The sequence below is a fragment of the Homo sapiens genome, chromosome 4 (genome assembly GCF_000001405.40).
Source record: "Homo sapiens chromosome 4, GRCh38.p14 Primary Assembly".
Classification (NCBI taxonomy): Eukaryota; Metazoa; Chordata; class Mammalia; order Primates; family Hominidae; genus Homo; species Homo sapiens.
Window position 1 is genome coordinate 146,191,949 of NC_000004.12, and position 21,129 is coordinate 146,213,077.

Sequence of the window (21,129 nt, forward strand, 5' to 3'; positions counted from 1 at the left end):
GCAGACATGTGGTATGATTTTCATGTTCTCATCTCAGCATTCAGGAAGGGAATGTTATTGAAAGATGGTTTACATCTGAAGCTTTCTGCTCAAGGCAATATGGAATGCATGCTAGGAGCGCTTAATTATGCTTAATTAATAATAGTAACAAATGCTTACGGGATTTCCTTAAGGTCTAAAAGTGCAGCAGCATTGGACTTGCTGTGTAAGGCTTACCGCCCCGGAGGCTATAATAATCTGTAACAATAGAAGCAACCTCTAGGGGGTAAAATTGTCTTTGATAATCACTGACTCTTGGGTGACCTCAGTACAGCATTCCAGGCCAAAGATCCAGAATGTTCCCTTACTGGGGGCAGACACGCCTATGATTGCACTGACCTTTGTCCTCCGAGCAGATGATCCTCCAGAGTACTGGCTAGCTCTTAGATTCAGAGGTAAATCCCAGCCCATGCTGTGGCCTTGCTGTTCCCCACAGCCCAACTGCATTAACTATAATTTTTTTTTCTCCACAAAAAGAAATTGTTGGTGAAAGGAAGACAACCTTCAGTTTTTCTCCCCACCGACCTGGTTTCAGGAGGCCGTGTGCTCAGTGGAGTGTCTCTGCCTGTCTTCGCTAAGCTTGCCCCTGACCATTGTGGAGGTAGATGCCACCTAAGAGTGGCAGGGTTAGTCCTGACCTCTGGGGTCTGAATATCCAGCAACTATCTTAATTCCAGTCGCTGCTGTCTGTTGTACCACCAGTACACAGCAGTACAGCTGTGTCTCTGTTGTTGACCGACTAACTTAGATTCACTGTTGAAGTCCAATTAGCCAGAGTGGGGGTGAAAATGCAAGAGTGGACGGTGAGAGTGGTATGTGTCATGTACGACAGGACAGTGGAGAGAGCCCTCTCTGATACCTGTTAGTCCCTCCTTTAAAAGATGCGGGAGGTGGCCAGGGAGTGGGGATTTCAGAATGTGGTGGCAGAAATCAGTTTGGCATTTATTGGATGACAGCTGTAGGCAGGCACTGTGCTATACCTTAGGGGGGTAGATAAAAAAGGAAATATGACATTGCACCTTCCATACTGAGTTTGTAGGTTTGGGTATTTATGGGGGAAAGTGGTACCCTCCATCCTTTTTTTAAAAAATTGGGCCAAAATTGTAAGAATTCTTTTAAAAACCTGAACATTTTAGATGGATTTGAGCATCTCAACTGTATGTTCGTATCTTGAAATTCCAAATAAACTCAGGAGTGGATAATTCTGAAATCTGAACGTAACTATGCCCTGTTTACCCACAGGCCCAGGTAGTTCAGCCTCCCATCTTTGTTTTTTTCCTTCTCCTAGAAAAGCCAGCTTTTGTGTGGTTTAACTGAACAGTCATGTTGGATTTTTTTTTATTTGAAGACCCATTTTGACTCATCTGCAGCACTGAAGGATTTTCTTCATAGTAATTTGGGAGTTATAGCAGATAGAAAGGCAGAGGCATATTCCAGGAATTTCATGAAATATAAAACACTGAAACACTTGGGATAGGCTAGTTTTCAATGCCTAGGTTACACAAATGTCCAAATTCACATGGGCTTAATTTATTCCAAGTTTTATAATGGGATGGATGTTGGTGAGTTTGGCAATATACCAATAATTTGGATTAAAGGAGAGGTTAGTTTATGAAAAGTTTACGTAACAATCTTAGGCAATTTTATTACCATCATGTGCATACGGTATTTCAAGTCACTATTCAGTGTTTATATCAAATAGACGTTTTATTGAACTTGGAAAAATGAAAAAATTAAAAATGTGTAATATGTACGGTAGAGTGGATGTTGCTGGGATACAGGGCTCCTTATACCCCGCCCACAGTAGTGTGTTAGTCACAAACCCCAAATCTCAGTGGTTTGAAACAACTAATGATCTTACTTATGCTCCATGTGCACAGGGGCCCATAGGTGGGACTCCACTGATTGCAGTCACCTGGGGGCCCAGGCCGAGGGAGGTAGCACCTTATGTTTCCACCATCTCAACCTGAGGAATCAGCATCTGCTGTGGCAGGGGAAGGGCAGAAAGGATCACTCCCTGGCTCCTAAAACCTTTTGCTTAAAGCTAGTGTCACTTCTACCCCATTATTAGGCAAAGCAAGTTACACGGTCAGGGCTTACTTTAAGTTTTCAGAAAAGTATAATCCTTTCATGGACCCAGGAGAGACAACCAGAAATACTGGTGAACAGTGGTAGTAACCTACCACATGATGTGTACTAGTCATGGTTCCTCCAGAGAAACAGAACCAATAGGATGTATAGAGAGATTTTAAGGACTTGGCTCCCACAATTGTGGAGGCAAGCCCAAAATCTGCAGGGTAGGCTGGCAGCCTGGAGACCCAGGGAAGAATTGCCACTCAAGTCTGAAGGCTGGCTGCTGGAAGAACTCCCTTTTCCTCCAAGGAAGTCAGTGTTTTCCTATTAATGCCTTCAACTGATTGGATGAGGCCCACCCACATTATGGGGGGTAGTCTGTTTTATTTACTTTAAATAGGTCTACTTATTTAAATGTTAATCTCATCTTTAAAAAATAGCTTCATAGCAACATCTAGAGTAATGTTTGACCAAATATCTGGGTACCATGGCCTAGCCAAATTGATACATGAAGTTAACTATCATGGTATGTTAACCATATCCTTTGCATTATACATTTTCTTAATCATTAGTAAAGCATTCAGAAGTATAAAGCATCGGTGTGATTTTTACTATATTGAAAAAAGAATTCTTTCTTTGTTAAGACTTGGGTTGAGGGACCTGTGCTCTTGGTGTCTTAATCTATTTTTCATTAGATTCCAAAGAAAATAGTAACTGGTTTCTTCATGGTTTCAGAAGCTGAGTCTGAATAGATTGTTTTGGTTTGGTTTTGTTGCTGCAGTTTAATTTACAATTTTCCAATTAATATATTCCTATATTTAAAAGAAAATGCAGAAGGTGACCATCTTTCATTAGACCAGGTAATTTTATCTCAAGCCAACCAAATGTGTTCCATCCACATACTGTGAGGAGATGATCATGGAGTCTTTAGTATACCTCAGAACTTGCCTCATGTAAAATGTGTCTCAAAGGCACAGGGCATGTTACAGCTAAAACTTTACCTTATCACTTTTCATACAGTGGGTTTTTATGGCTCTCCCTTTTCAGTATATTCAAAACTCTTTACAAGTATCTTCCTCCTGAGAAAGTGCATGTGTTCCTGTCTTGTTCAAAGATGTCCCATCAACAGGACCTGATCTCCAGTTTGCTTTTGTCTTTTTCCTAATTGTGATATTCTTGGCAGAGCCTGCTTCACACCCTGTTCCTTGTCCCCCTGGCACTGACATAGATAGATTTCTGAGATGATTTCTCCATGCTGGGAGTGCAGTAGAGGAGACTCATGAGGATCAGACCTCCACCTTGGTTTCATTAGCCAACTAAGCTAATCCTCACATTCTCCTCTCGTAGTCACTGAACAAGGTAGTCCCTTTTTCCACATGAGGAAACCTGAAGCAAAGAGGTTAAAGTGACTTGCCGAGGGTCACTTGGTGAGTCGCTGCAACTACAGTAACAGTTCCTTCTGCTATTTGATCAAGTGCATAGGTGTGGGCTCCATTGATTTCTTCTTCTAGCATGCATTTAATTAATAAATCAATCTTCTCTTCTGATTCATCCTACCAGTAGTCGAATGAAGAAGGTCCCAAAGTGTGCACACAGACTGCTGTCCTCTACATTCAAAGATGATGTTGCTGACAGTGATTTGCTATCATCCTGCTTGAGTGTGACAGGAAATATCAATAGTTGGCCAACAGCCCTTTATACACCGGGCCAAGGTAGAAAACTGCTCCTTGGCTTGCGTCTGCAGGCACTGTTTGCAGAGACTAGCAGTTTTTGAGATGACTGTCTCTTAGAATTTGTTTTTTCTTCCCTGGAGTCTCTCTAATCCTAATTACTACTCAACAGGCTGTTTCCCAGCAGCCGTTTGCTGGACCTTTGTGTTAGAAGCTGTGCATCATCAGACCCAGTAGGTCTGTAGGAGAGAAGTGGAGACAGGCTGTGTGTGCATCTGAATCGACTTTCCCTCCCTGGGCAATGCTGACTAAATCTGTGGTTCTTTTGTCAGTGACTCATTTGCTCAGATGCTGAATGAAGACTGAAGTAATTTGTTTTTATTTTTTATTTTTGAGACAGAGTCTCACGCTATTGCCTAGGCTTAAGTGCAGTGGCATGATCTCAGCTCACTGCAACCTCCTCCTGGGTTCAAGCAAATTCTCCTGCCTCAGCCTCCCCAGTAGCTGGAGTAACTTTTCGTATTTTTAATAGAGACGGAGTTTCACCATGTTGGCCAGGTTGGTCTCGAACTCCTGACATCAAGTGACCCACCTGCCTTGGCCTCCCAAAGTGCTGGGATTATAGGCATGAGCCACCATGCCTGGCCCCAAGACTGAAGTAATTTAATGTCTTTTCTCACGTGAGATTTGCCATGTCACTTGGCCCCCTTCTCTGTATCCCTCATTCTCATTTTGTGTACTTAGGACTTTCCCAGGCCCCATTCCTTGAGCACAGCCCATACCCCAAAACCACTCTACCCCCAACCTTGGGCACATTGCTTAAAATCACCATGCAATCATTTTAAATTCAACCATGTTAGGTTGTGCATTTTGTGTTAAGTACATTTTTTGTGACATGTTTACTTACAATTTCTCTTTTCTTATTCTTATCATTTTTCAGTGTATTATAAAACATTAGAACTTTTTTTTTTTTTTTTTTTTTTTTTGAGACGGAGTCTCGCTCTGTCGCCCAGGCGGGACTGCGGACTGCAGTGGGCAATCTCGGCTCACTGCAAGCTCCGCTTCCCGGGTTCACGCCATTCTCCTGCCTCAGCCTCCCGAGTAGCTGGGACTACAGGCGCCCGCCACCGCGCCCGGCTAATTTTTTTTGTATTTTTAGTAGAGACGGGGTTTCACCTTGTTAGCCAGGATGGTCTCGATCTCCTGACCTCATGATCCACCCGCCTCGGCCTCCCGAAGTGCTGGGATTACAGGCGTGAGCCACCGCGCCCGGCCTAGAACTTTTTTTTAACTTTTCATTGAAACTGATCACTTTAAGTACTGTGAGGGAAAAATGCAGGATGTCAAAGAGATATAGCAAGCCTTGATCAAAATGCCGTATTGTGTTTGCATTTCCAGAAAAAAGGGGAACATCTATTGTAAAAAAATTAAAATAGATGGGTGAGAGGTTGAGAGATAATAGATAATAGATACTATTTCCCATGATTAGAACTGTTTTCCTGAGTGAACCTATATACCCTGTTCAGAGAAATGAATTTATTTTAACTGAAAGGAAAACCAGGTTGAATGATCATCAGGTAGAGAATTTTTTTGCGGGGGGCGGTGGGGAATGGACAGAGTCTTGCTCTGTCACCCAGGCTGGAGTACAGTGGTGTTGTCATAGCTCACTGCAGCCTCAACCTCCTGGCCTCAAGTGATCCTCCCATCTCGGCCTCCTGAGTAGCTGAGACTACAGGAGCACACCACTATGTCCAGCTAGGTAGATAATTTGAAAGCCATTCTTTTTAATTAAAAACCAGTGCAGACTTTTAACATGATCAATTTTGCTGCTGTCATTCATTTCCCTTTAATGAAGTGAAATTTACCCCAAATTATGATTCTCTTCTTTCTCCCTCTTTCTACTTCTGTTTTATGGGAGAAGCCAGCTTTTAAACTCTGTAGTTGGAATCCCCTACCCCTACCTCGCCTAAATTATCTTGGCATTATTTCTCTCCTATTTGCCCTTATTCTGAATTTCATGTCAACTTATTTATTATTTTAACAAGCTGACCCTTCCTCAAGCTTTCTGTGTGGAGGGGAAGGGACTGTGCTGGAGTCCCTGTTGTATCTCAGTGGAAGCTGTTCTCCTGACATAGCTGGTGATTTTGTGGGCAGTTGGTGTGTGAATGCCACTGACCTAGGTACTTTAGGAACTTGACAAAACCTGAAGAAAAGAGTTTCCTATCAGGATTTTACAACAGTGAGACCAGATCAATTTCAGTGCCATTGTATATCGGAAGCTCCTTGAGGGCAGAGCTGTGTTTCTCTTGGCTTTTTATTTCCAGTGCCTGAAGGTGCCTGAGATATTGGTGTTCATTTGCTGTTTTCCTGCTGACAAATAATTACATAGAAACAAAATCCTGGTGTCTTTAGATAATTTACCTAGGTCTTTGGTAAGCATTTTGGCTTCCAGATAGAAATTCTCTCATCCTCAGCATCAGGCTCATTATTATTATTTGAAAATTTGAAAACACTGGCAAAGAGGCAAGTTGCAGTGCAGTAATAAGGTCCTTAATTTTCTACCATCTGCTGGAAGTTCATTCTGCTGCAAGCTGACCATCTGATGCATTTTTGGTTTGTTGGGCTGACAGTTTTACTGCTTAGAAATCAGAAGAAACAACACACTGGACTCATAAGGAGAGAATGCTCATTGAACGGGGAATTGATGGGAATTTGGGAAAAAAGGTGGCTGTCATCTTGGCGAGTATGCCAGGGAGTGAAATAAATCTTTTGTTGTTGTTGTTTTTTGTTTTGTTTTTGAGACAGAGTCTCACTCTGTCGCCCAGGCTGGAGTGCAGTGGCGTGATCTCGGCTCACTGCAAGCTCTGCCTCTCGGGTTCACACCATTCTCCTGCCTCAGCCTCCCAAGTCGCTGGGACTACAGGCACCCACCACCACGCCTGGCTAATTTTTTGTATTTTAGTAGAGACAGGTTTTCACCATGTTAGTCAGGATGGTCTCGATCTCCCGACCTCGGGACCTGCCTGTCTCGGCCTCCCAAAGTGCTGGGATTACAGGCGTGAGCCACCTCCCCCAGCTGAAATAAATCTTAAGTGTAGTCAGACACATATCCCAGCCTTTGTGAAAGCAGTTATAAAAAGTTCAGTTCAGGAAAAAAAAAATATCATCTTGTGGGAAGACACAGAAAGTTTATGAAAATTTGTAAAGTATCTTTTTGAATACAAACTCCAAAGAGAAAGAAAAAGAGAGCCTTCAGAGAGCTAACACATATTCAAGTCTTACTTTGTGCTGGCCATTGTTCTAAGCTCTTTACAACTAATTTCATCTTCAGAACAACCCTATGAAATTGATATTATTATTCCATTTATAAATGAGGAAATTGAAGCACACAGAAAGGAAGAAACTTGCTCAATATCACCCAGTTAGTTACTGGCAGAGGTGAGATTTAAACCCAGCAGTCTGGGTCCAGAGACTTTAAACCACTTGCACCTGAATATGTCAAGAAGCCCAAGCCCATTTTGAGTTAATTTTTGTATGTGTTGCAAGATAAGCATCCATTTTCATTCTTTTGCATGTGGATATCCAGTTTCCTAGCACCATTTATTGAAGAAACAGTCCTCTCTCCATTGTGTGTTCTTGGTACCTTTTTCTAAAATCAATTGATCTTAGATATGTGGGCTTATTTCTGGGGTCTCTGTCTTGTTCCATTGGCCAGTATGTCTGTTTTCATGCTAATACCATGCTGCTTCAATTATTATAACTTTGTAATAGATTTTGAAGTCAGGCAGTGTGATGCCTCCAGCTTGTTGTTTTTGTTCAGTATTGCTTAGCTATTTGGGGTCTTTTGTGGTTCCATACATATTTTAGGATTGTTTTTTCTATTTCCTTAAAAAGTGATATTGGAATTTTGAGAAGAATTACATTGAATCTGTAAATTGTTTTGCATAGTATGGACATTTTAACAATATTGATTCTTTCAATTCATGAACATGGGACACCTTTCGATTCGTTTGTGTCCTCTACTATTTCTATCATCAATGTTTTATAGTTTTCAGTATATAAATCTTTCACCTCCCTGGTGAAATTTACTCCTAAGTGGTTTTTTTTTTTAATGTTATTGTAAATGAAATTGGTTTCTTCATTTCTTTTTGAGGTAATTCATTTTTAGTGTAAATAAATGTTACTGATTTTTTTTTTCTTCTTTTTAGACAGAGTCTCACTCCCATCGCCCAGACTTGAGTGTAGTGATGTGATCACTGCTCACTGCAGTCTCAGCCTTCCAGGATCAGGTGATTCTCTCACCTCAGCCTCTTGAGTAGCTGGGTAATAGGGAGATGCTGATCAAAAGGTACAAAATTTCAGTTAGGAGGAATAAGCTTTAGTGATCTATTACACAGAATGTATAATAATGTATATTTCAAAATTGCTAAAAGAATATATTTTAAATGTTTTCACCACAAAAAAATGATAAATGTGTTAGGAGTTGGATTTGTTAATTAGCTTGATTTAATCATCCCACAATGTAAACATATATCAAAACATCATATTGTAGCACATAAATATATAATATATACAATTATTATGTTAATTAAAATTTAAAATAATTACTTGAAAAGAAGACCAAACTCCCAGATATGCTGAGACTTTTCAGAATAAAGTGGACAACAAAGGGACAAGGCCACTCATTAATGAGGATAGCCTGGTGTTAACAGATGGCGTGGAGGCCAGGCAACTCGGGTCTTATTTTGTTTCTTTGTCCTTCAAAAAGAATCATCTCCAAGCTGAAAATATTTCTAGGGGAGAAACGGAATCCACCAAAATAAAGAAGACTGGAACTCCTCTAAGTTAACTCTCCAGGGGCACTGATGATATCACACTGCACAAAGCAACTTGCAGGTGACACAGGAAACACTGTTAGGCACCTGTGAGACATTGAGGAAAATGAGACATGAGCAAATAAATGCCCTGGTTTTAAAAAGGAAGAAAGGGTAGGGAAACAACAGACCAGCAACCTTGATGCAAAAACCGTGAATACTCAAAAGAAGTAGAAAATATGTAGAAAAAAAAGTTGTGGTTTAAAAGCCAATATGGGTTCACTTAAAGAAGGCATGTCAAGACCACAGAATATTTTAATAGGTCTAGAAACTACATCTATTAAAATATGTAGAACCTATACCTTCTACACTACTAAACTAGAAGGATATTGTAATTGTAACATCATCATCATCATTGATGCCACTATCATTATCATCCTGGGTAAAAACTACTGAGCAGTTTCTTTGTTACAGGTGCTATATATCTGCAACACTCAGTATAAACTGCCTCATTTAATCCTCAGAACCAACCACCCTATGTCATAGTATGGTCTCACTTAATCTTAGCAACACATTGAACAAAATTTCTTAACTATGTGGACAAAAATAAAATAGAGTAGTTGTTAGTATGACTGGAGGATTTATAACTGCTTGGAAAAGAAAAGGCAGTGCACATAAATACAGCCATGTGGGCAACTATACTTAAAATGTATCACAACCTCCTGTACTTGGTTCTATAGAGTTTATTATTTTCATCAACTCCCAGGTAAAGGAATCAAAGATTTTTCATATTATGTAGTATAAGGAAGGATGGATAATACTAGGAATAATAGAATCAAGAGTAAAAAAATTCAATAAGCTAGAATAAGAGAATGAAAGCATTAAGCTGGAGACAAAAGGCATTTCAATTTAGGATTTTTTTTAAAAAGCTATATAACACAGTTTGGGGAGACCCAGAATTATTGAGTCTCATTGTTGGAAGAAATGTTTGGTCTTCTAGCCCACCCAAGAAGTCCCACTAAGTAGTTCTCTAGTTCTGTGTTTTTCAGTCTGCATAATATGGCATGGGAAATTAAATCAATTTAGTGGTTAAAGGTCATCAATAAAAAAATGGAAACAAATCAATGTGCACCATTTATAGCATTTAGTATTATTGTGTTAAATATGTTTCCATTTTATTCTTGGTGTGGGTACACTTGGGGCTGATAAAAAACATATTTTCTACCATAGGTTGTGATCAAAAAATTTGAAATCCACTGCTATGGCCAATGCTTAAATACCTTTCTTTCATTGCCTCATTTACAGATACTGTCTACAAGGAAATCTGGGGGGCATCCTTTTTGTCTTTGTACACATCTGGCTCATAGGGAGATATTTTTCTTTTAGTAGTGAATTTAAATTTGTCTCACTGTAGCTTGAGCACCTTGGTTTGTGTCTCAGCCTTGCCACATACTGGTCATAAGATCTTGCTCAAATCATTTTACCTCTTTAATCCAAAATTTTTCTTATCTGTAAAAATGGCAATATTTAAAATAACAGATCGATATTTTCCATACCTATTATGAGGGTAAAATTGATTTTTTTAAAATAGAAGGCATATTAAAAACTCTGAAGATTTTACAAATGCTATTCTTTATAACCCTTAAGTTTACCTTAAACAAACCTAATCTTTTGTTGTCAACCCTTCAGATATTTTAGGAAGCTATTATGAATCTTCTTTCCTCAAGATGAAACTCCTTGTTGGCTCAACTGCTCTTCACAGATGCATAATTTTGGAGTCCATACACCACCCTGGTCACTCTCTTTAGAATACACTCCAGTTTTGTACATTTATTCTATTTTCAACTGTATGTTAATTTTAAAGTACAGCATGCAACATGAAAATTAACATGCACACAATGAGAGGAGCTGTGTTAGGCGAAGGAGCTTATTGATGATTACTTTGCTTTTTCAAAAATTGTGTTTAATGTTGGCATATACCCCATCTTCCATAGAAATAAAGTAGGGTGTTCAGGATCTAATTTCAAATGTAGACTAGTAATCTCAAAGTGTAATGGGACAATTATATCCCTTGTTCAGGAGACAAAATTGCTCCCAAAACCTTCTTTTGTTCTGTTTTTTCATGGCATATTTTAAGCTTAAAACCCTAAAGGTTTTGTTTTGTTTTGTTTTTAAGTGTCTGCTTGTGAGCCCTGTCTCCTCCATCCTGGGTTTAAGCCATTGGTTTTTTCTGACCTAAGAAAAGCACTTAACATTTGTCCTTGTTTAATTTCATCTTGTTAGATTCAGCTCATTGCTCTGGGCTGTCAAGATCATTTTTCATCATTATTCTGTCATGCAGTCATCTGCCTGCTCCTCCCAGTGGCTGGTCACCCACAGGCCAGAGGTGCATGCCCGCCACACCTTTCTCACACAGTGCTGGAGGGAAGCCACAGGGAACCCCTGTCCAGGTGACATGACAGAGCTGACAGTCAGCATCCTTTAGGGGACGTTCTGCAGCCAGTTTAGAATGTATCTAGTTGTCTTTGTGTTATTTTAACCAATTTTTCTTTTTATGGTCCCTAAAGGTAATGAGAAATAGGCAGCTGATTAAGTTTACCATTTTTACTTCTCTGCCAGGAAGCTCAGAGTATGGGTCAACGGTCCATTTTTAATGGGTCTAAGCCACTTTTAAAATCTAGTAAAAATAAAATAATAACACATGATATATTAGGGTTCTCCAGTAAACAAAACCAACAGGAGATAGGTAGATATAGATATAGATGTGCCTATATAGAGAAATGTAGTACTCCCTTCCTATCCGTGGTTTCATTGTGGTTTTAGCTATCTGTATCAGCCATGGTCTGAAAATATTACATGGGAAATTCCAGAGATAAACACTTCATAGGTTTTAAGTGTGCCCTTTTCTGAGCATGGTAAAATCTCGTGCTGTCCCACTCCATCCCACCTGGACATGGGTCATCCGTTTGTCCAGCGTATTCATGCCATAGACACTCTCTACCCATTAGTCACTTGGTGGCCACGTCAATCACCAGATCAACTGTCTCAGTATTGCAGTACTTGTATTCAAAGAAGCCTTTTTTGATTTCATAATGGCCCCAAAGCCCAAGAATAGTGATGCTGGCAATTCGGATATGCCAAAGAGAAGCTGTAAAGTGCTTCCTTTAAGTGAAAAGAAGAACATTCTCAACTTAATAAGGAAAGAAAAAGAATCATATACGGAGGTTCCTAAGATATAAGATAAGAATAAATCTATCTGTAAAATTGTACAGAAGGAAAAAGAAATTCATGCTAATTTTGCTGTCATACCTCAAACTATAAAAGTTATGGCCACAGTACATGATAAGTGCTTAGTTAAGATGGAAAAGATATTCAATTTGTAGATAGAAGATGTGAACAGAAATATGTTCCGATTGATGACAATCAGGTTTGGTACTATCTGTGGTTTCAGGTATCCACTAAAGGTCATGGAATATATACCCCTTGGATAAGGGGGAACTACTGTATAGATAGAGATGGAGATGGAGATAGAGATGGAGATGGAGATGGAGATAGAAATAGAGAGAGAGAGAGATAGAAGTATAGGTATACCTCTCTTTGTGCTTTGCAAATGTGTTTTTTACAAATTGATGGTTTGTAGCAACTGTGTGTCGAGCAAGTCTATGAGTGACAGTTTTCCAACAGCATGTGTTCACTTTGTATCTTTGTGTCACATTTTGGTAATTCTCACAATATTTCAAACTTTTTCATGATTATTGTATCTGTTATGATGATCTCTAATCAGCGACCTTGTTGTGACTATTGTAATTCTCTTGGTGCACCATGAACTGCACTCATGTCAAATGGCAAACTTAATCAATAAATGTATCTGTTCTGACTGCTCCACCAACCAGCCATTCCCCCATCTCTCTCCTTGTCTTTGGGCCTCCCTATTCCTTAAGACATGAGACTATTGAGATTAGGCCAATTAATAATCCTACAATGGCATTTAAGTGATCAACTGAAAGGAAGAATCAAAGGACTCTTACTTTAAATCTAGAAATGATTAAGCTTAGTGAGGCAGGCATGTTGAAAATTGAGATAGACTAAGAGCTAGGCCTCATGCACCAGACAGTTAGCCAAACTTTGAATCCAAAGGAAAAGTTCTTAAGGGAATTTAAAAGTGCTACTCCAGTGGACACATGAATGATAAGAAATCAAAACAGCCTTATTGCTCATATAGAGAAAGTTTTAGTGGTCTGGACAGAAGATCAAACCACATCATTCTCCTAAGCTAAAGCCTAATCCAGAGAAAGGCCCCAACACTCTTCAATTCCATGAAGGCTGAAAGAGGTGAGGAAGATGCAGAAGAAAAATTTGAAGCTAGCAGAGGTTGGTTCATGAGGGCTAAGGAAGGAAGAGTCATCTCCATAACACAAAAGCACAAGATGAAGCAGAAAGTGCTGATACAGAAGCTGCAACAAGTTATCCAGGAGATCTAGAAGATAACTGATGAAGCTGGTGCCACTGAACAACAGATTTTCAATGTAGACAAAACAGCCTTCTGTTGGAGGAAGATGCCACCTAGGACTTTCATAGCTAGAGAGGAGAAGTCAATACCTGGCTTCAAAGCTTCAAAAGGCAGGCTGACTCTCTTGTTTGGGCTAATGTGGCTTATGACTTTAAGTTAAAGTCAATGCTCATTTATCATTTGAAAATCCTAGGGCCCTTAAGAATTATACTAAATCTACCCTGCCTGTGCTCTATAATGGAACAATAAGGCCTTGATGACAGCACTTCTGTTTACAGTATGGTTTACCGAATACCTTAGCTCACTGTTGATACCAAGTGCTCCGAAAAAAAAATATTTCTATTAAAATATTACTGCTCATTGACAATGCACTCAGTCATCCAAGAGCTCTGATGAATATATACAAGGAGATTAGTGTTTTCATGCCTGTTAACACAACATCCATTCTGTGGCCCGTGGATCAAGGAATAATTTCCACTTTCAAGTCTTATTATTTAAGAAATAGATTTTGTAAAGCTATTGCTGCCATAGATAGTGATTCTTTTGATGAATCTGGGCAAAGTAAATTGAAAACCTGAAAACCTTCTAGAAAGGATTCACTATTTTAGATACCATTAAGAAAATTAACGATTCATGGGAGGAGGTCAAAATATCAACCGTAACAGGAGTTTGGAAGAATTTGATTCTAACCATTATCGATGATTTTGAGGGGTTCAAGACTTTACTGGAGGAAGTCATTGCAGATGTGGTAGAAATAGCAAAAGAACTAGAATTAGAAGTGGAGTCTAAAGATGTAACTGAATTGCTGCAATCTCATGATAAAACTCTAATGGATGAGGAGTTGCTTCTTATGGATGAGCAAAGAAAATGGTTTCCTGAGGTGGAATCTACTTCGAACATTGTTGAAATGATGCCATGGCTTTAGAATATTACATAAAGTTAATTGATAAAGCAGAGGCAGAGTTTGGGAAGATTGACTCCAATTTTGAAAAGTTCTACTGTGGGTAAAATGCTATCAAACAGCATTGCATGCTATAGAGAAATCTTCTGTGAAAGAAAGAGTCAATCAATGTGGCAAATTTTATTGTTGTCTTATTTTAAGAAATTGCCACAACCACCTCAGCTTTCATCAATCACCACTCTGATCCATCAGCATCGAGGCAAGACCCTCCAACAGCAAAAAGATCATGACTCACTGAAGGCTCAGATGATCATTAGCATTTTTTGGCAATGAAGTATTTTTATATTAAGGTATGTATATCTTTTTTTAGACATAATGTTATTACACACTTTGAAGACTATAGTATAGTATAAACATAACTTTTATATGCACTGGGAAGCCAAAAATATTGTGTCACTCTCTTTATTGTGATGTTCGCTTTATTGCGGTGATCTGGACCCAACCAAACCTGCTATATCTCTGAGTTATGCCTGTATAGATATAGAGAAAGAGATTGATTATAAGGTATTGGCTCACATGATCATGGAAGCTGAGAAGTCCCATGATCTGCTGTCTATAAACCAGAGACCCAGGAAAGCCAGTGGTGTCATTTGAAGGCCTGAGAGTCCAAGAGTCACTGATATAGATTCCAGTTTGAGTGCCAAGTCCTGAGAATCAAACCTCTGAGGGCAGGAGAAGCTCAATGCTCCAGCTCAACGGTCAGAGAGTGAATTCAACTGTTCTTAGCCCTTTTGTTCTAAACAGGTCCTCAGTGGATTGAATGAGGCCCATGCACACTGGGGAGGGAAATCTACTCAGCCCATCAACTCAAATACTAATTCCTTCCAAAAACACCCTCACAGACACACGTAGAGATAATGTTTAGCTAGCTATCTGGTTTCTGTTGACACATAGAATTAACTATCACAAGTGGTAAAAGCAGAAAAAATAACTACTGAGTACTGGACTCAATACCTGGGTGATGAAATAATCTGTACAACAAACCCCCATGACATGAGTTTAACAATGTAACAAACCTGTACATGTACCCCTGAACCTAAAGTAAAAATTGAAGAAAAAAGAAAAGCAAAATATACTAAGGACTATCATACCAGAATTTTGTATAAACTTAAACTATTTCAAGTAGTATTTTCTGCTTACCTATAGATTCCTCCATCAGAGACATGTGAATTGGGCTTTGTGGGGGAAAGTGCAGGTGTTTTGGGGAGGAGTAAAACTGATGCTAATCATTGCTGCTCCCCTATCTTGTGAGATAGGGAAAACAGTCAACATAGGGTTTAGTGAAAAGATGGTGTTAAAGAAGTCTCATTGGCTTGGCCTACGGTAGACCTTCTGTTAAACTCTTAAGGGATCTATTGCCATGTGGATTTTGCTCACGTTACTGAAGGGTTTTTATGGGAAGAAATTGTTAAGCACTGAAGGGGAATTGGGAAATCTGGTATTTCTACTTCCAGCTTTTCTAGACTGCTTGCTGGATGGTTGGAAACAAATGATTAAATTTCCTAAGGTGCCTCAAACTTATTAAGCTGGGGCCACTCACATACTGGCGGTGTGCTAAGCGGGCTCCTGGGATTCTGTGTCACCAGGCAGTTTGCTCCCAAGAGAACTGGCTCAGATCCTAGCAGTAAGTGCCAGCGTAACGTTTCACAGCTTTGGGGTGCTGCCTGAGAAGTTGACTCTATTGCTGTTTTGCAGGAGGTGGTGAAAGAGGCCTGTCGGTTTTAGATGTCTGTTTAGTAAAAGAAAGGACTGTGATGGCAGACTTGCAGCTGGTTTGAAGGAAATGTGGATCCAGCTCTGGAGCTGAGTCTTAGAGCAAAAGAAGGAATTGGTCCTGCAGAAATGGCCCATGAACGTGGACCAGAGAAACACTTTTGGAGTTTGGCATTTGCAGGTTCCTTGAAAAAATGTTTTAAAATTAAAAGTTAAAAAATTTGATGAAGGACTTTCTCATTCAAAGATTTTAGTATTTCCCCATTGCCAAGGGAGATTGGGGGCTAACCAGACAATTAGTTGCTTCTTGCTGCAGAGTGGATAAGAGGTTTGGATTGCCTCTTTAAAGGAGAGTAAACCCTGTTTGTTGTGACTGCTTCTGTGATGGGCGATCAAAGGGCAGTGTGGACGATGAGAATATAAAGGATGACATTTAGATACTCAACCATAATGCTGCATTCTTTACTTTTAAAAAGAGAGAGAAGGAAGAAAAGAAAATATATCCTTACAATTTTTAAATGTTCTTTAATTTGAGAAAACCCGCCATGGATGGAAGGAAGGACAAACATTTGACATTGTTCAATATTGAGGGCTCCTGAAGTCTAGTTACCCTGAAATAGCTTTTACCTTCTTGCTTTGAAGTAGTGGGTCCCAAAATCAGTTTGCCCGCTTCTGGTAGGTTTGCTGGGTTAGGATGTGAGGTCTGCAGAGAAAGAAAGTTCCGGCTAGATTTCTTACTTACTCAGAGTGGCCCTCCAAACCCTGGTCCGTATCAGAGAAGCAGGAAACCAAAGTCTTGTCTCCCACCCTTAATTAGCTTTTTGGAACCATCCCACATCACTTTTTCTGTATGTTTCCATGTTCGTGACTATACAATGGCCATTGTAACAGCTTAGAATTTAGGGGCACAGGCTCCAGAGCTACTCTGCAGGGGTTTGAAACTTAGCGCCTCCAATCATGGGCAATGTGACTTCAAACAAGTTGCTTTAATCTTTCTGTGCCTTAGCTTTCTCATCTGTAAAGTGGAAATGGGATTAGAACATATTTTATAGGATCATTGTGAGGATTAAGTGAGTTCATACATGTTCAATGTTAGCTGTGTGCCTGGCACATGGTAAGAGTTCAATACATGGGACCTATTATCCTTGGAAAGGTTGGAAAAAGGATGCATTAAAATAAGTGGAACACATAGAGTTCTGAACAGAGAGATCCATGTTCCTTTGTCTTCTTTAGCGTAGGTCTATGCTACATTATTTCACAGATAACTTACGATGTTCATAGTGCTGTGCTACGCATCCAAGCTCGGCAATTTTAAGACAATTCCTACCCTACAGGGATTTAGAGCTAGGTCAGTAGGAAAGATGGCACACTTAAAGCTGATCAGTTGCAATCCAGGGCGGTGTATGGGATCAAGTGCCTACACAAGGATAAAGGGTATACATGGTGTAGGATCCTAAAAAGATACGATAAAACATTCATATACGTATAATAGAAGTCCCCAGAATTATTCAATGCCAATCTTTGAGGTTCATTTTTGCATGCAGTCACAAGATATGAATGTTTAGGCTTTGAAAAGGGAAAAAGAGCCTCTTAATCAACTCCAGGTAATGCTTTTTCTGTCCTGCTATAACGATACATGATCATATTTCTCTAATCATGAATCTCGTTGTTTTGCAATTATCTGCTGATGCATTGCTCTGCTTTACCAGCCCTGGAGGAGTGAAGACTATGTGTTATTCATCTTTATATCCCCTGCCCAGAGCCCATGACCTGCACTTAGTAGGCATTTAATAAAGGTTGGCTGAAGGAATGAATAAATGCTCAGAGTACATTTCCAGTGTAACTAAAATTGAATGCCACCAACTCCCCTCTTTTGGACATAAATTATAGTACTTGTCCAGACTCCCTAAATGCCAATTTTTGATCCCCACTTTGCCTCCATACAAAAGGTCTCCAAGTCTTACTTCCATTTACTCTCTCAACATCTCAGTCCCCACTATCCTGCGTCAAATGCACCTCATTTTATGTCTGGATAATTACTACAAACACAGCTAGTGTTCACACCTTTGTTCAAACTCTCTCTCCTGCTTTGAATATCCTTTTACCCATCTCATCTGTCTAAACTCCACCTAACCTCTAAAATCAACCATATTTTCCTGATTCTACTTGAAATATTCTGGCATCCCAGACTCTGGTAACCTGGCTTTTATCTCTCTTCTGATCATAGCTTGTTTACTGCTCTGCATCACTGCTAGAGAGCATCTAATCCTTACAACACCTTTGTGAGAAATCTAATAGTCTCCCCATTTTGCAGATGGTAAAACTGAGGCTCACCAGCATTAACTTTCCAAGGTCATGTAACTAGTTTGCTGTCTGACTTCAGAGCTCTTTCTTCTTTACCTTGCTACCTCACCCCAAGTAAAATGTCAGTTCCTAGGGAGAAGATCCTGCCGATACTTTATCAGCAGACTCTCTTGCAAGTTGCTTTACAAATAGTAAGAATTCAAATATTAATTAACTTAGAAATCCTGTTTGACTGTACTGTTCTTTAACAGGGATAATGAAGGAGAGGATTATTGGGTAGAATAAAAGCACTAGGCTGGGCACAGTGGCTCACACCTGTAATCCCAAGATTTCGGGAGGCAGAAGCAGGAGGATTGCTTGAGCCCAAACAGGAGTTTGAGACTAGCCTAAGCAATATGGTGAAACTCTATCTCTACAAAAAATACAGAAATTAGCCAGGAGTGGTGGCACATGCCTATATTCCCAGCTACTCAGGAGGCTGAGGCTGGAGGATCACCTGAGCCTGGGAGTTGAGGCTGCAGTGAGCTGTGATTGCACCATTGCACTCCAGCCTGGATGACAGAGTGAGACCTTGTCTCAAAAGAAAAAAAAAAGGCACTCAACTTTTTTTTTTTAAATGGCAGAAAGTGCACAGTAGCATGGAGGATGATGCAAAAGTCAGCAGACCTGCTAAACGTACATGAATGACCATTGACTTCCCACTTTCATGTAGAGTTTAAAGAGAATTGTATTTTTCTCTTACATAGATTATCCCAGCACTCCAGAAATCTTCAGATAGTTTTAAAAAATCTATCTAAACATTAAAATGCTAATCACAATGATGATACTGGAATAGCAGATTTCTATGTAAAAACACCAGTCAATCTCAGCAGGAAGTCATTACCAAGGTAGGAAAAACATTTGGATAGGAAAGACTGTTCATGAGTTACAAAAGCCATTATCTTCATCTCCAAGATCTTTGAAAATGAAGAAAATGTCCACTTGTCTGCTGGAGTGAAGGAGCAGGAAACAGGACTAGAATAGTGAGCTCAACAGGTTCCTCCTTCATTTGCAAACTTTTCCAAGGCAGACTCTTAAACCAGGAGTGAGTGTGGGATGGTGTCAACGCAGGTTATAATTACGTGCCAGACTTTAATGCATGCCATCTCAAGCTGTTTTAAGAGTAGCTCATTCTTATGCCTTTATAACTAAAATAAAACCTTGAAAATGTGTATCATTTTCTTGCTGGAAGAAATAGAAGAGATTATTTAATTCAAACCTTTTTATTTTATACCTGAGGCAACCCAGAGAAGTTAAGTGATTTACCGAAGGACACAGAGTATCTGATTTATAACCATAAAACCCACCCCAAGACTTTCCCTTGGTATGACGTTAATATTAACTGTTCTACTCAGGGCCAGGGGATGTTAAGGTAACAGATTCAATCATGTTAATATATCAAGTCCAGCCAAATTGCTAGTGTGAAATGACCTCAAGCAGATTCCCAAAATAAAAGCAACAAACAAACAAAACACAGTATTTTCTTGCTTTCCGGGTGCACACAGCTGGGTCTCCTTCATGTGGGTGGGGATTGGAGGCCAACTCACTGCTGTCTCTCGGGCTTCGGGCTTAGCGCATGATCTGGCTCAGAGCCACACTCTCTCACCGCCTCCTCTCCGTGGTGGGCACCAACCCTCTCTGTGGCTCAGCCAGCTTTCTCTTTCCCCAGACAAAACAGGTACAGAGCCCTTCCTTTGTCTCAAACCCCATACTAAGTACCAACTCCTTATTATTTATTACCTCACTGAAACTTCACCAGCACTTCGGGATGCAGGTACAGGAACTGGTAGTTATCTTCATCTTGTAGATTATGTTACAAAGCTATTCTATAGCAAAACTGTAGGGAAAAACCTTATCTATCACTTCCTGAATGCTGTGGGAACTTTTGGCAAGTTACAGAAACACTGTGACTCAGTTTCCTTATCCATAAAATGAGATAACAATAGTGCAGACCTCATTGTGTTGCTGTATCGATGAGGTAATTTGCCAACTAGCTGACTAGAATAGTGTGTGGTACTGTGCAGGCATTATATAAATATGCTGTTATGTTTAATTACTATCCTGTCCCCTCAATGCCTCTTACACATCCTGCACGTGGTACAATACGGCCTCAGGTCTGACCCCACACCATGACCTATGGCTCAACCACCTTCCTTTGTACAGACCTGCGCTGATAAATATGGTAGCAGCTTACCACATGTGGCTCCGGAGCACTTGAGATGTGTCTAGTCTGAATTGAGACGTGCTGTAAGTGTAAAATACCACTGGATATCAAAGACTTACTGTGAAAAAAAGAATGCAAAATATCTCACTAATGATATTTTATATGCTGATTGCATGTGAAATGTTTTCAATATATTGAATTGACTAAATTTATTATTAAAACAAATGTCTTTTGTTCCTTTTCACGTTTTTTAAAAATAAGGAGAGTCCAATTTTTTTGTTTGTTTGTTTTTGAGACAGGGTCTCACTCTGTCGCCCAGGCTGGAGTGCAATGGCAAGATCTCAGCTCACTGCAACCTCCACCTCCCAGGTTCAAGCAATTTTCCTGCCTTAGCCTCCAGAGTAGCTGGAATTACAGGCACGTGCCACCATCCCTGGCTAATTTTTGTATTTTTTGGTAGAGATGGGGTTTCAACATGTTGGCCAGGCTGGTCTTGGACTCCTGACCTCAGGTGATCTGCCTGTCTTGGCCTCCCAAAGTGCTGGGATTACAGGCGTGAGCCCCTGCGTCCGGCCTAGAAAATTTTAAATTACATATGTGGCTTGCATTCTATTTCTATTGGCCAGCACTCGTATAGAGTAGCCTTGTATGTGTTCTTGGTCAGATTCCCAGGGAGAGTTTCTGTCTCAGCCCTGAGTCAGCAGGGCCCTCGCCTGTGATGAATGCCCCCCTGGTACAATCAGCTTTGTCGGGAGAGTGGCATAAGATGCGCTGCCGGCTCAGCAGAGGCTGTGGGTGTGGCAGGCAGGATAAGGCCATGTCTAAGATATGGTGTCCTCCTG